We start from the raw sequence: 20,221 nt of genomic DNA, 5'->3' as shown, positions 1-20,221 counted from the left end.
TACCTATACCGAGCTGTTCGCCAAGTGAAGGAGCTGTGCGGTGGGAGGATGGGATTTCTGCCAAAAACAACAGCACAAGCAAAGGTCCTGGGGTGGAAGGGAGGCCAGCACGTCCCAGAGACAGCTTGCAGAGCATGATTTACTCTTCTGTTTAGAAACAAAAGAATATATAAAAATGCCCAACTTTCAGATTATCGGGAAAATCGAATGAAACACGGCACAGGAAAGTCCCTATCAAACATCCTTCCTTACAGCCTTGGGAAAATCATGCAGGGGTCTGAAGCTTCTCATCCTGGGAGCGGGGTGGGGCAAGGGGGAAATTAGACCGTCCCCGAAAGCGATTACTTCATGCTGCCTCTTTATTTGCATGCAGGTCATGTGCCTCTTAGGTATCATTTCTTGGGGCGTTGTTTACTTTAGTTCTGAGACTCAGGAGTAAATTATGCAGGTTCCCTGCCAGACCTTCTAGCAAAGTTGTCCTCTGGGTTTGGGGCCTTGCCCGAATCCTGGGGCTTTAGTTGCACAACGCTGCCCTCTGCTGGCCACAGATGGAAGTCTGGGCGCGGCTACTGAGCAGGGCAGGCCACGGTACTACGTGGGTGGCCTTCATCCTGGTTTTGCTCTGTTTTCGCGTGGAGATGGGGCTTCCACTCACACTGAACAGTCAGTCTGCTTCTCTTCCTCTCTTCTCTCCTCTTCCTTTCACCCACTGAATGAGTGCTTAAGCCCCGCCCTAAGCATGGCACGTTCATAATCTTATTGCAATCTGCACAAAAACCTGGAGGAAATTATTGCTATCCCCTTCGCAGAAATGACAGTCAGGAGGCTTGCGGTGACCAGGTGACTTTCCCAAGATTATGAGCAATAAAGCTGGAAAACAGGGCTGGCCTCTGGGGTCTGTGACCTACGCACAGGGCCCTGTGCTCGGTTTAATGCTCTGCCGTTGTTATCTTGAGATTCCTAATAGTTTCTGAACACAAGACGCTGCATTTCTTGGGCAGGCGTGGTGGCTCACGCCTGTAATCCCAGCACTTTGGGAGGCCGAGGCAGGCAGATCGCCTGAGGTCAGGAGTTCGAGACCAGCCTGGCCAACATGGTGAAACCCCCGTCTCTACTAAAACTACAAAAATTAGCAGGGCATGGTGGCGGGTGCCCGTAATTCCCAGCTTCTTGGGAGGCTGAGGCAGGAGAATCGCTTGAACCCGGGAGGCAGAGGTTGCAGTAAGCCAAGATAATGCCACTGCATTCCAGCCTGGGCCACAGAGTGAGACTCGGTCTCAAAAAAAAAAAAATAAAATAAAATAAAAAAATAAAAATAAATAAATAAATAAAAAGACCCTGCATTTCCGTTTTGCACTGGGCCTGGCAAGTTTGTGTCTGCCCTGCTGTTGGAGCTGTGGGTTCCAACCAGGCCTGCTTCACTGCAACCCCAGTGCTTTCCTGTCTCCTCCAGGGCTCTTTCTAGAAGGCACACCTGGCAGCTCAACGTTTAACTTCCAAGAAGGCGCTCCATTACGTACGGGATAATGCGTCTTATTTCCTAACGCCGGGATTCTCACCCTGGCTGGACACCCAGGGGAGGGAGGACTTTGGCAAAATACTAATGATGTGGGCATGATGAATGCTGCACGTGGGGCCCTAGCATTGCTGTGTGTAAAAGTTTTCCAGGTGATTCTAATGAGTAGGTAGAATACAGCACCATTGGTGTAGGGCCTGGCACAGTTCCTGGCATTCAGTGGGTGTTTAATAAATGTTTTCCAACTTTTTAGAGCACCGAATTGACTGGAGGGCTTATGCTGAGAATTAAACTGAGTCGTGAAGAAGAAGAGACTCACCTTTGGGTTCCATGTTGGCGTCAGACTAGGAGCTCGGAGTTTGCCAGGCAATGGGGGAAGCTACCTGGGGCTGGCTGGAGAGGGAGAGAGAGTGGGAAAGACTTGGAAATTAGGTGCACCTTCCTGAATATTTGGAGCTTGGTGAGCCTTAAATTTACGTAGCCTGTAAATAGCACCTGATCCCACTTAGGTAGCTCTTCTCCCCCATCCTCAATTCCAGTTCTTTGATGAGTGGGTTAATCCCATGCCTGGTCTCAGTGTAGGGTGCTGAACCAGGCCTGGCCGATGAGATTATTCCACTCCTCTTGGCTGGCTTCCGTGACTGGCTCAGAGATAGGCATATACCCCAAATCAGACCAAGGAGATGCAACCTTGGGACATTTGCGGGAACTTTGGGAAACAACCAGGGAAGCTGTTGTTGTCCAGGGGTTGATGCCTGAGGGGTTTGAATGCAGCTGGAACTGCTTGTGGCCATCTTTCCATGGTGGCCAAGGCATCATACAGGATGGTAGAGTTGAGTGGCAGCAGCCATTCCTGATGAATTTGAGCAGCTGGATCAGCAATGTCTGAATTGACCCCCAAACCCCAGCTTCCAAGTGTCAACAAATGCCCTTTCTTGCTTCAGTGCCTTGAGGTAGATTACTGGCCACTTGCAGCTGAAAGCAAGTGATAAAGAATGTAAATATCCTGAAGAGAATTTCCTGTCCCTTGGTTCCTGAATCACCTTATAGGGATTTGCAGGGAGCTGAATATTCAGTCCGGAGTGAGAGATGCATTCAAGGAGCAAATGGCACTGTTACCCGAGTCAGTCTTGTCTTCAGTCAAGATGACATCCTGAGATCCTGAGATCTTTCCCCCCAATCAGTACAACAGCAGACCTTTGATACTGACTCTATAGGATCCTTTTTTTAAAAAAATTTTATTTATTTATTTATTTTTGTCCGACCACAGCTTGCCAGGATATGCATCTATCCAATGATCAAATGTTTGCTGAGCATCTACTTCGTGCCGGGCACTGTGCTGGTACAGAACTTGTGAAGATGACAATGTTTCCAGGTCAGCCCAGAGAAGCCAGTGCAGCCCATTAGACGATTTTCAGAATCATGGGCTGCAGAGTATGGAAGCATTCTATTTATTCAATTATTATTTCATGTAAGCAGTTGTAAGAATATTTAAACCTACTGCACACGTTAATAAACAGATACATAGTAGGTAGCCAAATTTTACCACACTAGTCATGAGACAAAACTGACACAAAGGAATGTGCAATATTTTTTTTTTTGAGATAGGGTCTCATTATGTTGCAGTGGCACGATCTTAGCTCACTGCAACCTCTACCTCCTGGTGTCAAGTGATTCTCCCACCTCAGCCTCCCAAGTAGCTAGGATTATGCAGGCATGAGCCACCACACCTGGCTAATTTTTGTATTTTTTGGTAGAGATGGGATTTCACTGTGTTGGCCAGGCTGGTCTTGAACTCCTGACCTCAAGTGATCCACCTGCCTCGTAAAATGCTGGGATTGCAGGCATGAGTCACCGCACCCAGCCGGTGCAATAATTTTTAAAACAAATTTTGGCTGCTGGTGTTACTGCCAGGGAAAAATGGATATTTCCACAAGGACTCTGATGGCAATGCTGGCCTCTTGAAGGGCTTTGAATGTTGATAATACAGGTTCTTTGAGGACAGTTTGCTTTTGAGACACTGGCCCCTCTCAGGGCGAGCCTGGAACCTTCCTCTCCTGGCAGTCTCTTGTGACCTGTGCCATGGCAGAGTCAGAAAGATCATACATCAAGCAGAGTCATATGTTAGTAGTTGACTGTAGGTAGTATGCAGGTGTTCACTGTAGAAATTCTTTTAGTTTTGTTGAATGTTTAAAATTTTTCAAAATAAAATGTTGGAAAAAATGAACTTGATTCAAATTTATTTCCCTCCTTTTTTTTTTTTTTTCAATTTTCTGTTTTTCTTTAGCTTCTCTTTGATTACTAATGTTGCCAGTCCCAGAGCAATTGCTTTCTGCAAACAAGTTCTCAGAAGCCTCAGATGAATTTTGGACCTAATTTAATTCCCAATTTATTTGCTTATGAAAAAAAAAAAAGGCTTAATTTCGTCACACCAGATCAACCCTTCATGTACCAGCTATGATTGCTTTTAAAAAGCTGGCTATAAGATGCCAAGCCAGGCAGCATGAGATAGTCCAAATGAATTCATGAAAACTGGGGAAAAAAAGGGGTCTTCAGAGTCTGCAGGACAATGGCAAAACCCATACACAGACAAAGGGAGCCCGGGAGGGGACACGCACGCCAGGATAAAGGGAGAGCACGGATGGTGCCTGTGATCAGGTACAGACAGGAGCGAGCCGCTCCGATGAGCAAGGGTGAATGGGGCCAGTGGGAGCCTCTCTCTGTACCTAACACGTGGCTTGGTGGTTTCAGGTATGTGGGCTGGGAAAACAGGCACAGAGTTGTCCTTTGACTTGTGTCCCCCGCAGAAGATATGTTGACATCCTCACCCTTGGGATCTGTGAATGTGACCTTATTTGGAACTAGGGTCTTTGCAGATATAACTAGATAAGATGAGGTCATCATGGATTTGGGTGGGTTTTAATCCAACAACTGTGGTCCTTATAAGAAGAAGTTTACTTGGACACAGACACATGGAGAGGAGAACAGAACGTGAGGACACACAGACATGCGGAGGGAGGGAGGCCATGTGATGACGGATGCAGAGATGGGAGTGATGCAGCTGCCAGCCACGGGATGCTGGGAACCACTAGGAGCCGCCAGGAACCATTAGGAGCTCCAGGACCTGGAAGAGGCAAGGAAGGCCCTCCCTAGAGCCCCAGAAGGAGCACAGCCCTGCCCACCCCTTGATGTTGGATGTCTGGCCTCCAGACCGTGAAAGGACACATATCTGCTGTTTTTTTTTTTTTTTTTTTTGAGACAGAGTCTCACTCTGTCGCCCAGGCTGGAGCGCAGTGGCGCCATCTCGGCTCACTGCAAGCTCTGCCTCCGGGGTTCACGCCATTCTCCTGCCTCAGCCTCCCGAGTAGCTGGGACTACAGGCGCCCGCCACCATGCCCAGCTAATTTTTTGTATTTTTTAGTAGAGACGGGGTTTCACCGTGTTAGCCAGGATGGTCTCTATCTCCTGACCTCGTGATCTGCCCGCCTCAGCCTCCCAAAGTGCTGGGATTACAGGTGTGAGCCACCACGCCTGGCCCATATCTGCTGTTTTAAGGCCCCCGGTGTGTGGAGCTTTGTTAGGGCGGCCCCAGGACAGTCACACACAGGGTAATGGTGGAGCACGAGAGAGGTCTGCAGAGTCGCTGCTGCAGGGCCCAGCATGACCTTGGTCTGCCCTTGGTGTCAACACCCACAGTCCTCCTTGCTTGTTGCTTCTGTGTCTTGACCCTAAACAACCAATGCCTTGTCTTAGAGCAGAGCACTGTGTCCGTCCACTCGCCCTCTACTCCTCTCTTCTGCAGGCAGCCCATAGACACAGGGGGACTCTGGAGCCCAGCTTAGTCTGGAATCCGACTGTATCAACGTTATCAGTAAAGAACAAAAAGCACCCAGGAGGAGGTGGGTCAGCTGTGGGACCTCATGCAAAGACAGCTGGGGAACAACCACGGGCACTCTGCCTCCTGCCTTCGGGGTGCTGGGTCCACGCCGTGGCTGGTCTCTGCTGGGGAAATAGGTGCATCCTGCTTGCTTTGGGAGCACGTGCTCCAAGCTGCTTTCTCAGTGGAGTTCAGCCGCCTGGGTAGACTGGCCAGCAGAGAGGACTCCTTCATACTTTGATTTCTCACTGAAAATGACTACGCGGTCATTTTGGAGCCCAGTGAGGGGAGGAGCCATGCCATGGAACTCAGTGATGTCACCAGGGCCGGGCCAGCCTGGGTGACCTGTTTGGGTGGGTGGGCGGGCAGCTGGTGCTTCTCAGGTGCCTTCCCTCCTCTTCTTGAAATTATGTCCTGGGCTCAGAGAAGACGAGGCTGTCCCCCAGCTGGCCCTTAGCCAGTCAAGGTTATTTGGCATCCCCTTGCCAGTGATGGCTGTGAGGTGGGCATGTGACCAGCGCCTGGCCAAACAGATAGAAGGGCAGGTCTGTCGGAAGATTACGGGAAAGTGTGCCCCTGGGGGAGAGACAGAGAGAGAGAGAGAGACACGTACACACACACACAGAGAGAGAGAGAGAGAGAGAGAGAGAGAGAGAGAGAGAAAAGAAGAAGGGAGGGTAGAGGGAAAGAGAAAGAGAGAGAACAGATGATGCAAAGCCCCCGCTCTGCCTCCCTGCCTTGGATGGGGCCTGTGAAACGTGTATCTGAGTTGGGACGATTTAAACAAGGGATGCAGCAAGCCCATATTGCAGGGCCTCCCTTCCTTCCACAGGGGCAGCAGTCGGTGAGCAGGTGCACTTCAACTTTTGTTTTCAAGACGGAGTCTCACTGTGTTGCCCAGCCTGGTTTTCCCTATTTCCAAAAATAAGGCCACATTCACAGGTATAGGGGTTAGGACTTCCATCAGTCTTTTAGGGGGACACCATTCCACCCACAGCTGAGGTGGGCAGGGAGGAAAGCTTTGGGGCAAGGGCGTTGGGGTGGCCCACAGAGGCGGCGCTTGGAGATATTGTGTCACCCCGAGAAGAAAGCCACAAGCCCCACAGAGCAGCCAGCAGGGTGGGTGGACAGAAGGGGTGACAAGTCTCCTATCCACGGCACAGCCTCCTCTGGACATCTCGTGTGTGAGATCCCTCAATATCCTTGTGATTTAAACCATTTTTAGTCATTGCTTGCAGCTGAAAACATTCTGATGTTTTTATTATAGAAATCAAATATGTAACCGTAAGCACTTGAACCCAGTACTTTGATTTTGGGCTAATGTATTACATGTTTTCCTTTCCAGCTATAAGAAAAAGAAGTTATGCATTAGTTATTTCCTTCAGGATCAATGACCCAAGTGATAAGTGAGAATCTTGTTCTTTTTTCAAAACAGCAAATGTGATTCCTTTTTAAGTGCATGAAACTGTGCTTAAAACTCTCCGAAAGTTCAAATTAAACTGTAATTTTATAGCTATCTTTTCCATTATTAGTGAAATCTTGTTATTTTCACAAGTTAAATTCTATTTAAATACATTTATGTGTTACAGAATTGTCAAGTGGCAGCTTAACCTGCTGAGGGAATAGAAAAAAAGTGTGCCTAGATTAAAAGAATGCACTTACACGAAAATAAAGATAAATGAACTAATAAATTACTAGTTTTTAATAAATAATCTCCATACTGAATAACTTATCCTTCTGGTAAAATATTTACTATGCTCTTTAAAAGCTTTTTAATCAACCGAAACACTCAGGAAGCTTTAAATGATTGGATATCCTTTTGTGGCTTAAGAGTTGAAATGATTTTTTACTGAAGTACATTTTAATAAGAAGCAAATTGCTTTAAAGTGATTCAAGTCTTCATGGCGTCAGGGCTCTTCACGCTCAGTTCCTCGGGCTTAGGGGTGGACTCCTCGGTTCAGAAGGCAGAAGAGGTCACACTAGGTCCTAGAGCGTGGACGTTCTGGGTAATTAAGAATCAATTCCTTTTCAATTATTTTAGGACTAGCCCAGGCCTGAGACTCCCAGCATGGGAGCATCGCCCACACTCCCATTTCTCTACGCAGTGTTTTTGTGTATGGGAAATAAGACACAAAAATAATAAATGAGGGAATTTATTAAAAATATGAATCTCCAGCCCCCGTCCCAGATATTCTGAATCAGGATCTACAAAAAGGGGGCCTGGGGACCTGCATGCTAATCAGTGCCCCATGGGGCTTCTTGGTTTAGACATATTTGACCCTAAAGCCATTAGACTAAAGGGTGTTGGGCAACCCAACACCCTCGCCCCAAGGTTGATGCCCGAAGGCCCTGGCTCTCTCACTCTCAGAATCGCCTGGAGGATGTGTTAAAACCCAGGCTGCTGGACCTCCCTCCCAGGGTCTCTGATTCAGTAGGGCTAGGTAGGGCCTGGGGATCTACATTTCCAGCACGTTCCCAGGGGATTCTGATGCTGCCGGTTCAGGAACGTATTTTAAGAACCACTGCCCTATGGGAAATGTCTCCAAGGAAGAAAATATTCTTTCCATGTATGTTTTGTTGAAATCCGAGGCAAAAAAGAAAAAAATCTGTTGTTCTCAGACCAATTATGGAAAACAAGTCCCAGTAGAGAGCAGGAGAATGAATTCTGCCAGAACTTCAGTGACTTAGGTGCCGCTGCAAACCTTTCAGAACCAAGACCAGATACAGGGTCGTCTGCTGAAGGGGTTACGAAGAGTCCAGAAGAGAACATCACGGTGGTTCCCAAGAAAGACCTTAACATCTCAGTGGTGTTTAATACAGCATAAAAGCAAATTACGACCTCCATTGACTTATGGGTATTTCAAACAGTTCTCACCAGTTTATTAGTCAGCGTTAGGATAAAAGGGATTCTTCAAGTTCTGAACTTGCTAAACGGTAACTTGTTGGAAGCATTACTAGCAAATCTTGTCCACAATTGTTCTGGAATACAAGTCAGCTTGAATAAATCCAAGAAATGTCTGGCAGAGTGGATGGCAGGGAACAATGTCTGGGGTCAGTGATTCCAGAGTTTTTGTGCCAGAGAGTTTCTATGGGGTCTGTTTTTCATCATGGGGAAGACAAAGTTGGGTCACAGATTATTGTTAAGACTTGTCCAAGTTTGAGAAAATGAGAGTGGCCCAGGAAAAGAATCTTCCTCGCATCTCCTTCTGAGGATGCTGGCAAAATGCGCATCTGATATAATCAACCTTCCAGACAAGGATTCTGATAGGAAACCGAGCCCTGGGGATGAGGGCTCACAGACCCAGTGCCGACCCACGGTAACCATGAACCTCTAAAATTCTACAAGCAAGACTGCGTACTTTTGACAGATGGCTTTCAAAACATTCTTTCCCTTTAAGATTCTTAATTATGGCCCCAGCGAACACAGGTTCTAATTGAGGCGCACCTGAGCCTGGCTTGCAGGAGAGATACCTATCAAAGGGAAAGGCTGATTTCTTTTGAGGGCATTGTTTTGCAGCATTTCCTGGACTTACCAGTCCTAGGCTTCTGTTCCATGAATAATTCGGTCCAGTCCTTTGCCTCAATAAGATTCTGGAGCAGAATCAGTCAAATGGTCTTATGTTTTCAGGAGAATGCACTGTTAAAAGAAACAGCCATATTATTTACATTTCCAGAAATGGCTCTTCTGATGATTATCCATAGCCCATCAAAATTAACTGCATATTCTGCATAAAAGACCTTTAAGATATTTAATATGTAAAGTTTCTTTCTGTAAACACTTACTGGGTTTTGACAGCAACTTGTAAAGACCAAGGTAAGAGGTAATAAAACTACAGCAATGGTTTACAAATGGAGGTTTTGAAGGCTGATTAGAGGGAGATGAATTCCAGCTGGAAAACTTTTTGATAATGTCAACAGCTTTCGAGAGCCTCTGAGCAGTGAATGAGATGATACAGGTGAAAGCAGCTAGCGCCATACCTGGCCCAGGACAGGCAGGAAAAATGTCAGGCAGATCTGAAGCTGAATCCGGTTACTGAGTCATCACCCATCAGGGAATCAGAAATCCTTTGATTCAAACAGTTGGGACACAAATTGTTGGGGCATGCGTGACACATGGATTGAATTGAATGCCAGGTAACGGGGGTCAAAGCCCTGATTGTCCAAGTTGGACGTGTCAGCTGGGTTGACACGGGCGTGGCGGAATCCCATGGAACTTGGTGAATTACATCATCGGACGGTTCGCAGTAGACAGGCCTTCTTGAATGCAGTTCTCGACCTCGACTGCACACTGGAGTCTAAGATGAACACTGCTGTCTGGGCCCACCCATGGGGATTCTGATGTGAGGGTTCTGTGGTGCTGCCCAGTTTTGGGCCTTTGAACTGCTCCCCAGGTGATTCTAATGTGCCACCAAGGTTGACAGTCAGCTAATTCCGATTTAACCATCTCCAGTGTTACCAGTGTTTATAATCTAGAAGTTACATCTAGAAGGTCTGTAGCAAACACTGTAGGTTGTCCACCCGATAGCCATTCTGATTTCCTTTCTGATGGAACCCTGGTATTGTTCTCTTATGTCTCCACCTCTGAGGGTCCGGAAACTATCAGCAGAACCGTTACACCAGGCTCAGGTGGTCTCATGAATGGGTTAAGCTGGGATTCCTCAACCTCAGCACTGTTGACACTTGGGGCTGTGCCACTCTTTGGGGTGAGGGTTGTCCTGTGCATGGTAGGGTGTTGACGCAGCATCCCTGGTTTCTACACTCTTGATGCCAGTAACACCCCCAACCTGAGTTGTGACAACAAAAAAACAAGAACCACATGGCTCAACCTATCATGCGGGTCCTGTTTGCCAGGATCATTTTAGGCACAGGAGTGGGGTGGAAACACCTTCAAAGAAACATTTTCTTCACTCTTAGGAGACAAAAGGGAAGAAGAAAGGCATTCTCTGACCGGATGCACCCAGGTGGAACAAATCTGGGGTTGGGTCTTTTTATTTTTTATTTATTTTTTTGTTTTTTATTTTTTGAGATGGAGTCTCGCTCTGTTACCCAGGCTGGAGTGCAGTGGCACGATCTCGGCTCACTGCAACTTCCACCTCCTGAGTTCAAGCGATCCTCCTCCCTCAGCCTCCCGAGCAACTGGGATTACAAGCGCCCACCACCACGCCTGGCTAATTTTTGTATTTTTAGTAGAGACGGGGGTTTCGCCATGTTGGCCAGGCTGGTTTAGAACTCCTGACCTCAGGTGATCCACCCACCTCGGCCTCCCAAAGTGCTGGGATTACAGGCATGAGCCACTGCGCCCGGCCGGGTCTTGCTCTTAGTTTTACTGAGGTGCAGAATTTACTCGCCCCAGAGCTGCCCTCCCTTGGGACTTCTTGCCATGTGAAATAATACATCCCACCATTGTTAAAAGGGCTGATTTTTGCTATTGGTAGCTAAACGCTTCTAAGCTGCTGGATCCTGAATCCAGACTATTCTTAATTATTGGGAAGCAATACTGTTCTCTTTTGGAAGGTGGACATTTTGCAAGACCAACGTGACTAAATGGTCAAATTCTGTTTTCTACGGTAGAGACACAGAATTTGACCATTATTAGATCATTATTGCGAAGATTATTATTGTGAAGCAGGACAGTCAAGAGTGTTCTTATGAGGCAGGGCAGCATCTACACGATAGGTATGTAGTTCATGTATGTGGTGTCTACATATGCTTTGGTAAAATGAAGCTCTGTTGATGAGACAGCCACATATTACATTTCATCATTCTCAGGGATCCCACAGAGGCTGATGTTGTACAGCTTTCAGGATCACTCGAACCCTAGGCAGCGGTCTGAGGAGCTTCCAGCCACCTCTTAGTGAGAGCCTCAGGTGTGAGGACCAAGCGTTAGGATCCGCCCTTTTTTTTTTTTTTTGAGACAGGGTCTTGCTCTGTCACCCCGGCTGGAGTGGAGTCGTCCGATCACAGCTCACTGCAACCTCGACTTCCTGGGCTCAAATGATCCTCCCACCTCAGCCTCCTGAGTAGCTGGGAGCACAGATGTGTGCCACCACACTCTGGGCTAATTTTTCTACTTTTTTGTAGAGATGGAGTCTCAGTATATTGCCCAGGCTGGCCTTTTTTTCTTTTTTAAAATACTGTCATCCTGACTTGTTGAAACAAACCCTTTTCCTATTTCCATATTAATTTGTAGGGTTGATAAGTGCAATGTTCAATCACAATTCCTCTGGTTTTGTTTTTGGGCAGTGACTTGCATCTCCCCTCCCTCATTTTCATTCATTGAAAAGTTCTCAAGTGGCTGCAGCTAAAATCAGACACTTAAAATTAATGCAAGATTAAGATTCCAGGTGATGGCTTCTTCATGAGTCCATTTAAAAGTCTTCGTTGCAATAAAAAAAAAACACCACAAAACAAAAAACAGTGAAATCCAATAGGATGGTAAGCTAATAGGTCACGGAGTGGCGGGGGGGTGTCTTTTTATCCCCCGGGTTGGGCCTCAAGCAATAATTTTTGTGGGAGACAGGACAGGTATAGGCATGGAAAACCAATGTGAAAACCTGTGGTTCATATTCCCCGTGGTTGTGCTCTGGGCAAATGTTTGAGGAATGTCATTTGTTTCTGTTGTTGTTCTCAACTGATTTAGGAGAAAAAAGGCACTGATCCAGGAGCACACATTTTCTACCAGCTCTGAATAGTTTAAATTCCAAATAAAAACTCACATCCAGTGTGTTTATTACTTAATTTTAGGTCATGTTTAATTGAAAACACTCCATCAGCCTTTTGAAAGTAAATTTTGAGATCCAGCCAGTGGGGCTGATGATTTCCAGACAGCCTGGACAGCTGAGATTCGGAGCTCAGCTCACACGAAGAGGCAGACGATCAGCTGTGTTCGTGAGCAGTGCAGGTGTGCAGCTGTGAGACGGTCAGCTGTGCTCGTGAGCGGTGCAGGTGTGCAGCTGTGAGACGGTCAGCTGTGTTTGTGAGCGGTGCAGGTGTGCAGCTGTGAGGACATTCCAGGGTCATCATTACCAGCTGTGACCTTGTGCCCCTGACTCCCCGTCTTGGGTTCCTTTTCTTTAAATATGACTCATCAAATGAAAACCTCTCAGTGTTGTTGTGAGGATTAAGCCAAACAGTGCAAACAAAAGGCTTAGCACAGTACAGCGGTTTACAGTCAATGCTTTCAATGGCGCTAGCTGTGAACATTTGGTAACTGTAACCAGTTAACTTTCAGGGCTAGATATGACAACACATCCTGCAAATTCCTCCATTTTAATCTAATCAAAATATATAATGTGCAAAATACAAAATAAAAGAGGAACACAGTGTCTGCTTGGGAAGGCTTCCATTTACAAACAGCATGTTGAAAAAGTTCACTTTTGTTTGGAGGACTCTATGTTCCCATAGCAACAGTGCTCTAAGTGTGTGTGTGTGGGGCTTAAATTCCAAGGACTCACAAGGGCAAATTAACTCTTAGTTACGTGAAATATTGTGTTAGTCCTGATAGGGTTAAACAATGACTGTACTTGTAGTGAAACAAAGAAAAAATTGATATGAAAATAAGATTGAAATATTTTAAAATCCTGTGGCTCAAAGGAAAGCAGGATGAACTAGGGGCCAAATGAAGAAGCTGTGGGGCCTTGGGGTTTGAGACAGGGCACTTAATTAAATGTAACGCTGTTTTCCTTGGTGCGAGGGCCCCCATACTCATCTGTATTGTTCAGCCCTCAAGAGAATCTTCACTGGCTGGTAAACGAACAAGAATAGCTGGAGAAGGAATACTTCATATAGTATAAAAAAGACCCTTGGACAGGCATGGTGGCTCCAGCCTGTAATCCCAGCACTTTGGGAGGCTGAGACAGGACTGCTTGAGCCTAGGAGTTCTAGACCAGCCTGGGCAACACAGCAAGACCCAGGTGCGGTGGCACGAACCTGTAATATTAGCTACTTGGGAGGCTGAGGCAGGAGGACTGCCTGAGCCCAGGAGCTTCAGGCTCCAAGTGAGCTATGACTGTGCCACTGCACTCCAGCCTGGGCAACAGAGCGAGACCTCGAAAACTAGCAGGTGAGCAGGTTAAAGCTGAGTTCTCTGCTCTACTTTCAGAGTCTTTAATATGCTAATTTCTTCATGAGGTTCACAGAATGTCGTCTAAACCCAAGTGACCATAACCCCTTCCTTCCTGCAGCATCTCCAGGGGCAAGAGTTCTGGGAACACACCTGAGACAAGTCTCCTGCAATGCCAGTCTTGGCAAGCCCTCCTCCCGCTCCTCAGCTTCCCCTTCCAGCAGGCAACCTCCCCCAACACCCCCTCTCCTGCTTTGCCTTGGGCTACTTGTACTTAATCCGTCCAGAGGTTTTAGTTGATACTCTAATGTGATTTCTGCATTTCCATCTGAAAACCAAACAGATTTTTGACACAAAGGAAGCTTCATAGCAGGATTTCAGGCACCTTTATTCATGGCAGATATTTTTGGTCAGGGCAGCCTGCCTTTGAAATCGTTCCATTACTTGAGGAGGTCGACTCCTGCCTAAGTCACAACTCTCCTACAACCGCAACCGGCCATATCATTTCCATTTGCCACTTCCGAGGCTTGAGAACATCACCAGGGACGCAGGTTTCGGATGGTCTGGTCAATGCTGCAGTGTGTGTGGGGCATTCGGGGGCTCCAGCCTGCATCACAACCTACTGGCCTGATCAAAGGAGGTTCTGTAGTTGGGTAACCAGAGTGGTGAATTCATTTTATCACAGAAGGATCTCACTCCTTTATGTTCCCCATGTAATTTGTATACAGCACAAATTATTTCTTACTTTGATAGATTTGCAATATAAACACCAAGACTGGTGAGATGAGAAACTTAAAAAAATCATGTTTTTCAAATTTTCAAGTTTTTGTGTAAAAGCACTTTGTGGTGACAATCATATGGATCACCTTCCAGGTCATCAGTATTGGCCTCTAGGTTTAGCACTCCTGGCACTGCATTTTTGAGTGGCCAGAGATAAAGGTATTATCCCTGTCTTCTATAATCAATGATAACATTGACACTCTGCAAGAATTTAGATAAGAAACAGTTTAAGTAAAATAGTGTTTTTTAAAAACTTGAGTCTACTACAAGTCGTTGATCATATTCTAGCCAAGCAACTGGCATGGACTTAATATGGTCTCTTTTCCTTCTCTCTTTCTTTTCAAGTCACTAGCTCAAAGGAAAGACTGATTGAGTTTTAAAATCCTGCCAGATTTTTTATGGTAACCATTGTAGATGAACCACGTAGGTAGGGTCCTACTGAAGTATTAGAATCTCATGCAAAACTCTAACAAACGCCTCATTACAGAAGGCTATTCTGTTATTTTCTGTACTGTAAAAGTTCTGACACAAGACAGTGGCAGTGGTTACTTTTCATCGACTTTAGCATGTGATCTCAGGGACTCAGACATACGTCTAAGTTCTATTCTGAGTTTTGGCAACAGAGCAGTGACAGATATTTCTGAATGAACAATTTTTAGGTGTTTTCAGCCATTTGAAAAGTATTGCCAACACACTATTTGGTGTTAGCTCAACAGTCACGTTGTGCCAAGAATTAAAGAACTCTAAAGTCTACAAACATCTTACTTCACCAAGACTAACTATAATTGAAGGGTTTACTATTTGTTTAATAAAAAATCACACATCAACTTTTATCCAAACAGCAACTACTACAAAAGGAATGACAAGAAAAAAAATGACTTCACAGAAATACACTAAAAAATCTGACAATGTTATGCAAGAACCGCCAAAGTTTTAGTGTTTAATAATGAATAGCACAACTGACCAAGGTCCAAGATGTGAAGATACCATGTTCAAGAAACTGGGGGGAAATCACTCTACAAACTAACTATATACTAGGTGATAAGAATGCATACTTTATAATATAAAACCTGTCTACACATAGTAGTTAGCTGCAAAAAGCCATTCGATCTTCTCTTGGCTTGGAAAAATGCCAGATTCCAGTATAAATTATTAGCAACCTGTTGAAGAAGGAAAAATCATCAACATGTTTTTCATTATATGAGCACAAGTAAAAATGACATATAGACCTATCAACTACAAATCCCTTTCCACTCTCCTACTGAGTTAAACTTATTTTCTTCTGGCAATATTTTAGCAATAGATTTAACTGGAAATATCTTTAAAAGTTTCAGAGTCAGTTTCCTACTCCCACTCTTTTCTTTGAATGACCCCCATCACTAGCCAGTCTACCATCCTGAAATTCTTGTGGTAAGATAATCAGTCAGTTGATGGCAGTTTTGATTGCCACATAATATAAAAAGAGACCCACAGAAGCATCTGAGACTGGTAGGACATTTTTCCAAATTATCTCTGGATAAGAATAACGATGACATAACCCATAGAAAGCAGTTATGTGATTTACTCACACAGTGAATGAACCCCACCTACTGTGAAGATAAAAGCAAATTTTAGAGTCTGTCTTCAACATCCCAAATCTGTATTTCACAGTGACTTAAAATGTGGTCCACAGCAAGCCCAGAAAATAGGAAATTAGGCATGTTTTACTGTACATTCTGCTTAGTACTCTACGAATCTAAAAATACTCAGGAACCATTTTATTTTATTTTTTTGAGACAGAGTCTTGCTCTGTCTCCCAGGCTGGAGTGCAGTGGCATCATCACGACTCACTGCAAACTCTGCCTCCTGTCTCAGTCTGCCAAGTAGCTGGGATTACAGGCGTGCACCACCACACCCAGCTAATTTTTGTACAGACAGGGTTTCACCATGTTGGCCAGGTTGGTCTCGAGCTCCTCACATCAACTGATCTGCCCTCTGCCTGCCTTTGCCTCCCAAAGTGCTGGGATTACAGGCATGAGTCACCACGCACCAGTACCTTTTTTTTTTTTTTTTTTTTTTTGAGACAGAGTCTCACTCTGTCGCCCAGGCTGGAGTGCAGTGGCGTGACCTCGACTGCAACCTCCGCCTCCCTCAGCAACATTCATTTTTATAGAGAATTAAAATGTTATAAATGAAACAAGAGAAAAGTGAGTCTAAAACTTATTTTTCACACATACAGAGGAAAAGGATCACCATGCACTCTGCTGAGTGATTCTGTACATTTACCTATCTTGCTGTGTAGGTACTTTGAATTACTAGGCTTTCCTCTGACATCTGAAACTATTCAGAGGAAATTTAAATGAACTCCAGGGTAAAAGCTTAATGTGGCCACAATCTAGTTCACCTATGTCAAGTTACCAAGAAAGTCTCCAGAATTTAAGCCATTTAAGAAGGTGGTAATGTGGGTGACTTATCAGTTATTTCCATAAAAAAAAAAAAAAGCAATGGAAAATCTTCCAGTGACAGGCTTTATAGGCCAACAAAAAGACACCTTAATTATTAGCTGGAATGATAAAAACTCAGTGGTTATCTAATGTTAGCCAGTGGTCTTCACTAATAGTGACAGAAGTCTAATTAATAAAAACTGGGAAAATAAATTCGGTGTAAAGAATGAGTTTGGCATGAAAAATTTCAAAACATCAAGTCCACAGCAGGTAAACAATACAGTGATGCTTGCTGGGATCATGGCTGGGAACTGATCTACAGAATGTCTGACTACATACAAATTATACTTACAGGTTCTCTCTATTCTTTTAAGACAAAATAAAAAAAAAGACCGGGCACGGCGGCTCACACCTGTAATCCCAGCACTTTGAGAGGCTGAGGCGGGCAAATCACTCAAGGTCAGAATTCGAGACCAGCATGACCAACATGGAGAAACCCCGTCTCTACTAAAAATACAAAATTGGCTGGGTGTGGTGGCACAAGCCTGTAATCCCAGCTACTCGGGAGGCTGAGGCAGGACAATCGTTTGAACCCAGGAGGGCAAAGGTTGCAGGGAGCCGAGATCGTGCCATTGCACTCCAGCCTGGGCAACAAGAGCAAAACTCCGTGTCAAAAAAAAAAAAAAAAAAAAAAAGAAAAGAAAAGAAAAAAAAAATTGCCCCCTTCCTCACCTTCAACTCTTTTGCGTGGCAGGTATCTTGTTTTCACTTTCCAGTTCTTCCACCCCAGCCTGTGTCATGAGGTCCGCGATATTCTTTTCCAGATCATCAATGCGACTACTCATATCATCAAGTGCTGAAGTTAAAGACAACGCGTGCCAACATCTCATTGAGCCTTTTTCCTCCCGTCCCTGCAGACTACAGCCTTAAACACAACGACTTTAGGGAAACTGGTCTTCCAATTTTCTTTCGACACTGTTACACGCTGGTGGGTAAGAGTACAGGACTGTGGGGCATGGCTACCCCGCATCGGATTCCAGCCCTGACCCTTACTAGTGATGGAACCCCTAAACCTCAATTTATTCATTTGCTAAAGATGATAACACTACAACCCACTCATAAGGTCATGCTGAGCATCAAAAGACACACACAAAAGCGCTTAGTTCACAGTGCATGGTCCACCACACCAGCTATTAGGATTGGTAGACGTATGCTCCTTGAGCCAGGAGTCTAACTCAGCTTTGCCCCTAGCTCTCGGCGCAGTCCTTCTCAGAAACACAGTACAATCCAAGCTCAAATTCTACAAGTGAATGGCTGAAGCTAGCCTGAAAACTACTCATTTATCCCCACCACTGCCCGGCAAATAGGCTCCAAAGGCCCACAGGAGGCCGACTGCAGATAAAAAGGATATTTCTCCCAATGATCTGGTCAGACATGGTCTGAAATTTATCTTGCATCTGCTGCAGGAGTGTCTGCACCTAAGAAAAACCGAAACAAACAAACACGGTCCACATCGATCCTGAGACAACTTCCTGGGATCAGGACGCAAGCCCTGGTCCCGGGGTTCCAGCCCCATTTCTGCCTCTGGACAGCTGTGCGGCCTTCAGCAAGATCTTCCTTCTCTGGGCTTCCGTTTTCCAACCTGTCCAATTAGACTGCTGGGCTGGGGAGGCCGCTGCGACTCAAAGCTCAGGGTCTTTAGGTTGTTTCTGCCGGGCTGGGGCACCCGGGGGTGTGTGAGGAGTTGAAGGGCGGGGAGGGTGTCAGAGGTAGGCGGGAGGGACCCGGAGGGCGTTCGCGACAGATGAATGGGGCTACTGGAAGGGGTCGGGCTTGGGGGCGCCCGCGGGGAGACTGGCCCGCACCGAGCGCCCCGGGGGTCAAGGTGGCCGGGAGCCTCGGCCAGAGACGCTTCCAGAAACGGGGCCTCGGCAGACGCCACGCGCGGCCGCGGTGGGCGCGCCTCTGTCCAGCAGGGCTTGGCCCGGCGCCGCCCGGGAAGGCCGCGGCCTCCGGCCCTCACAGCCGTCCCTTACCACCGAGGTGAGGTCCTGCACGGTCTTGGGGTCAGTCTCGGCCATCTCCCCGATGCCCAGCTTGGCGGTGATGTCTCAGACCGTAACCTACACTTCCGTTTGTCCGCTCAGTCGCCCCGGGCCGCTGCTTCTCGCGACGAGACTGGCAGCTCGCGGGACCGCGGGGCATTATGGGAGTAGTAGTTTCTCCCGCACCGGAAGGGCCTCGAGGCCGCGCGCTTCCGTTCCAAGGAGCGGCCCCACCCCACTCTCCCCGCCTTCTTTCGCATAGCCCCTCCCCTCCCTCTATGCCCCGCCCCTCACGCAGCGCGCCGTCAGTGGGGTGGAAAGTGAGACCAACTCAGAAATGGAGCAATAGAGGCAGGGAGTGGTCTTGGCCTCTCTTCCAGGCTGTAGTCAGTCGAAAGACGGCTCTGGGGTTTCTTTGGCCTGTCGGGACGAACTTACAGAACTTTTGCCCTTCAACAAGCCCCACTGTACCCTTGTAACTGCCCCCAAGCCAAGGAACATGACCCACCCCTACCCGCCCCGGGAGCCCCATGGCTCCTGTCCTGTTCTGTCATCTCCACCCTATGAAGGTGGCCAGCGTCTGGAGTTTAGCCCAGTAGGTTCATTGTGCCCGTCAGGTTCATATGAGGGGATTCAGACAGGAAGCTGTCCATCATGCCTGGCTTCTTTCACTCCACGCAATGCCTGCTGTTGAGTGGGGAAGGCTTCCGGCATCAGGGTTAGACTGTGGGTTTGGGTGTTGAAGGAGGTGGGCACTGCTGATTTGGAACCTCAAGTTCCAACCCCACAGGTGGTCTTTAGGATTGGGTCTCATGGCAAGGGGATAGGAGAGTCCTTGACTGCGGGCCTGGCATGTTCTGGAAACTTTCACACATCTCATTTAAGGACTGTGCTATGTGAGGGGTCAGCTCCAGTTTGACTTTAGCTAGGGAGAGGCTGTAAGGTGTTAGAGCTGTTACGGGAAAGGGTCCTGATCCAGACCCCAAGAGAGGGGGTTCTTGGATCTCATGCAAGAAAGAATTCAGGGCGAGTCTGTAAAGTGAAAGCAAGTTTAAGAAAATGAAGGAATAAAAGAATGGTTACTCCATAGACAGAGCCCTGAGGGCTGCTGGTTGCTCATTTTTATAGTTATTTCTTGATTATATGCTAAACCAGGGGTGGGTGATTCATGCCTCCCCTTTTTAGACTATATAGCGTAACTTCTTGACGTTGCCATGGCATTTGTAAACTGTCATAGCGGTAATGGGAGTGTAGCAATGAAGACAAGCAGGGTTCACTCTTATTGCCATCTTGGTTTTGGTGGGTTTTGGCCGGCTTCTTTACCGCAAGCTGTTTTATCAGCAAGGTCTTTATGACCTGTACCTTGTGCTGACCTCCTATCCCATCCTGTGACTTAGAATCCTTTAACTGTCTGGGAATGCAGCCCAGTAGTTCTCAGCCTCAGTTTACCCAGCTCCTATTCGAGATGGAGTTGCTCTTGTTCAAACGCCTCTGCCAGACCCACCAGTGTCTCTAACA

The 20,221-nt window shown here is 46.6% G+C and overlaps 1 protein-coding gene across 1 annotated transcript, besides 8 other annotated features; it reads right to left on the bottom strand.

The window, feature by feature from the left end:
• Positions 1 to 7,078: 7,078 nt before the first annotated feature.
• HSBP1 (heat shock factor binding protein 1) lies at positions 7,079 to 18,838 on the bottom strand. Its single transcript, NM_001537.4, has 4 exons — positions 18,695 to 18,838; positions 18,070 to 18,136; positions 17,391 to 17,511; positions 7,079 to 15,395 (listed from the first exon to the last, which is right to left on the bottom strand). The coding sequence occupies exons 1-3, from the start codon at positions 18,737 to 18,739 to the stop codon at positions 17,393 to 17,395; spliced, it is 231 nt and encodes a 76-aa protein (NP_001528.1). The 5' UTR covers positions 18,740 to 18,838; the 3' UTR covers positions 7,079 to 15,395; positions 17,391 to 17,392.
• Positions 8,663 to 9,862: an enhancer, noted in NCBI's record as "BRD4-independent group 4 enhancer chr16:83850559-83851758 (GRCh37/hg19 assembly coordinates)". NCBI's record gives its function as "activates an origin of replication core promoter dependent on BRD2, P300/CBP, MED14 and CDK7 cofactors, and independent of BRD4, by STARR-seq in HCT116 cells {active_cell/tissue: HCT116}" and the evidence as "EXISTENCE:reporter gene assay evidence [ECO:0000049][PMID:35650434]".
• Positions 12,353 to 12,864: an enhancer, noted in NCBI's record as "NANOG-H3K27ac-H3K4me1 hESC enhancer chr16:83847557-83848068 (GRCh37/hg19 assembly coordinates)". NCBI's record gives its function as "activates a minimal SCP1, AML or CMV promoter by ChIP-STARR-seq in primed H9 embryonic stem cells {active_cell/tissue: H9 hESC(primed)}" and the evidence as "EXISTENCE:reporter gene assay evidence [ECO:0000049][PMID:30033119]".
• Positions 12,865 to 13,376: an enhancer, noted in NCBI's record as "H3K27ac-H3K4me1 hESC enhancer chr16:83847045-83847556 (GRCh37/hg19 assembly coordinates)". NCBI's record gives its function as "activates a minimal SCP1, AML or CMV promoter by ChIP-STARR-seq in primed H9 embryonic stem cells {active_cell/tissue: H9 hESC(primed)}" and the evidence as "EXISTENCE:reporter gene assay evidence [ECO:0000049][PMID:30033119]".
• Positions 13,377 to 13,888: an enhancer, noted in NCBI's record as "H3K27ac-H3K4me1 hESC enhancer chr16:83846533-83847044 (GRCh37/hg19 assembly coordinates)". NCBI's record gives its function as "activates a minimal SCP1, AML or CMV promoter by ChIP-STARR-seq in primed H9 embryonic stem cells {active_cell/tissue: H9 hESC(primed)}" and the evidence as "EXISTENCE:reporter gene assay evidence [ECO:0000049][PMID:30033119]".
• Positions 18,402 to 18,691: a silencer, noted in NCBI's record as "silent region_7768". NCBI's record gives its function as "represses an Ori minimal core promoter by ATAC-STARR-seq in GM12878 lymphoblastoid cells {active_cell/tissue: GM12878}" and the evidence as "EXISTENCE:reporter gene assay evidence [ECO:0000049][PMID:35858748]".
• Positions 18,402 to 19,044: a biological region, named in NCBI's record as "H3K27ac hESC enhancer GRCh37_chr16:83841377-83841878".
• Positions 18,543 to 19,044: an enhancer, noted in NCBI's record as "H3K27ac hESC enhancer chr16:83841377-83841878 (GRCh37/hg19 assembly coordinates)". NCBI's record gives its function as "activates a minimal SCP1, AML or CMV promoter by ChIP-STARR-seq in primed H9 embryonic stem cells {active_cell/tissue: H9 hESC(primed)}" and the evidence as "EXISTENCE:reporter gene assay evidence [ECO:0000049][PMID:30033119]".
• Positions 18,709 to 18,885: a silencer, noted in NCBI's record as "fragment chr16:83841536-83841712 (GRCh37/hg19 assembly coordinates)". NCBI's record gives its function as "represses an EF-1alpha promoter that drives an FKBP-Casp9 reporter gene in an ReSE screen in phorbol 12-myristate 13-acetate-treated (for megakaryocytic differentiation) K562 erythroleukemia cells {active_cell/tissue: K562(+PMA)}" and the evidence as "EXISTENCE:reporter gene assay evidence [ECO:0000049][PMID:32094911]".

This window comes from Homo sapiens, chromosome 16 (genome assembly GCF_000001405.40).
Source record: "Homo sapiens chromosome 16, GRCh38.p14 Primary Assembly".
NCBI classification, from domain to species: domain Eukaryota; kingdom Metazoa; phylum Chordata; class Mammalia; order Primates; family Hominidae; genus Homo; species Homo sapiens.
Note: the sequence above shows the minus strand (reverse complement) of the source record. Positions and strands in the feature narration are given on the sequence as shown.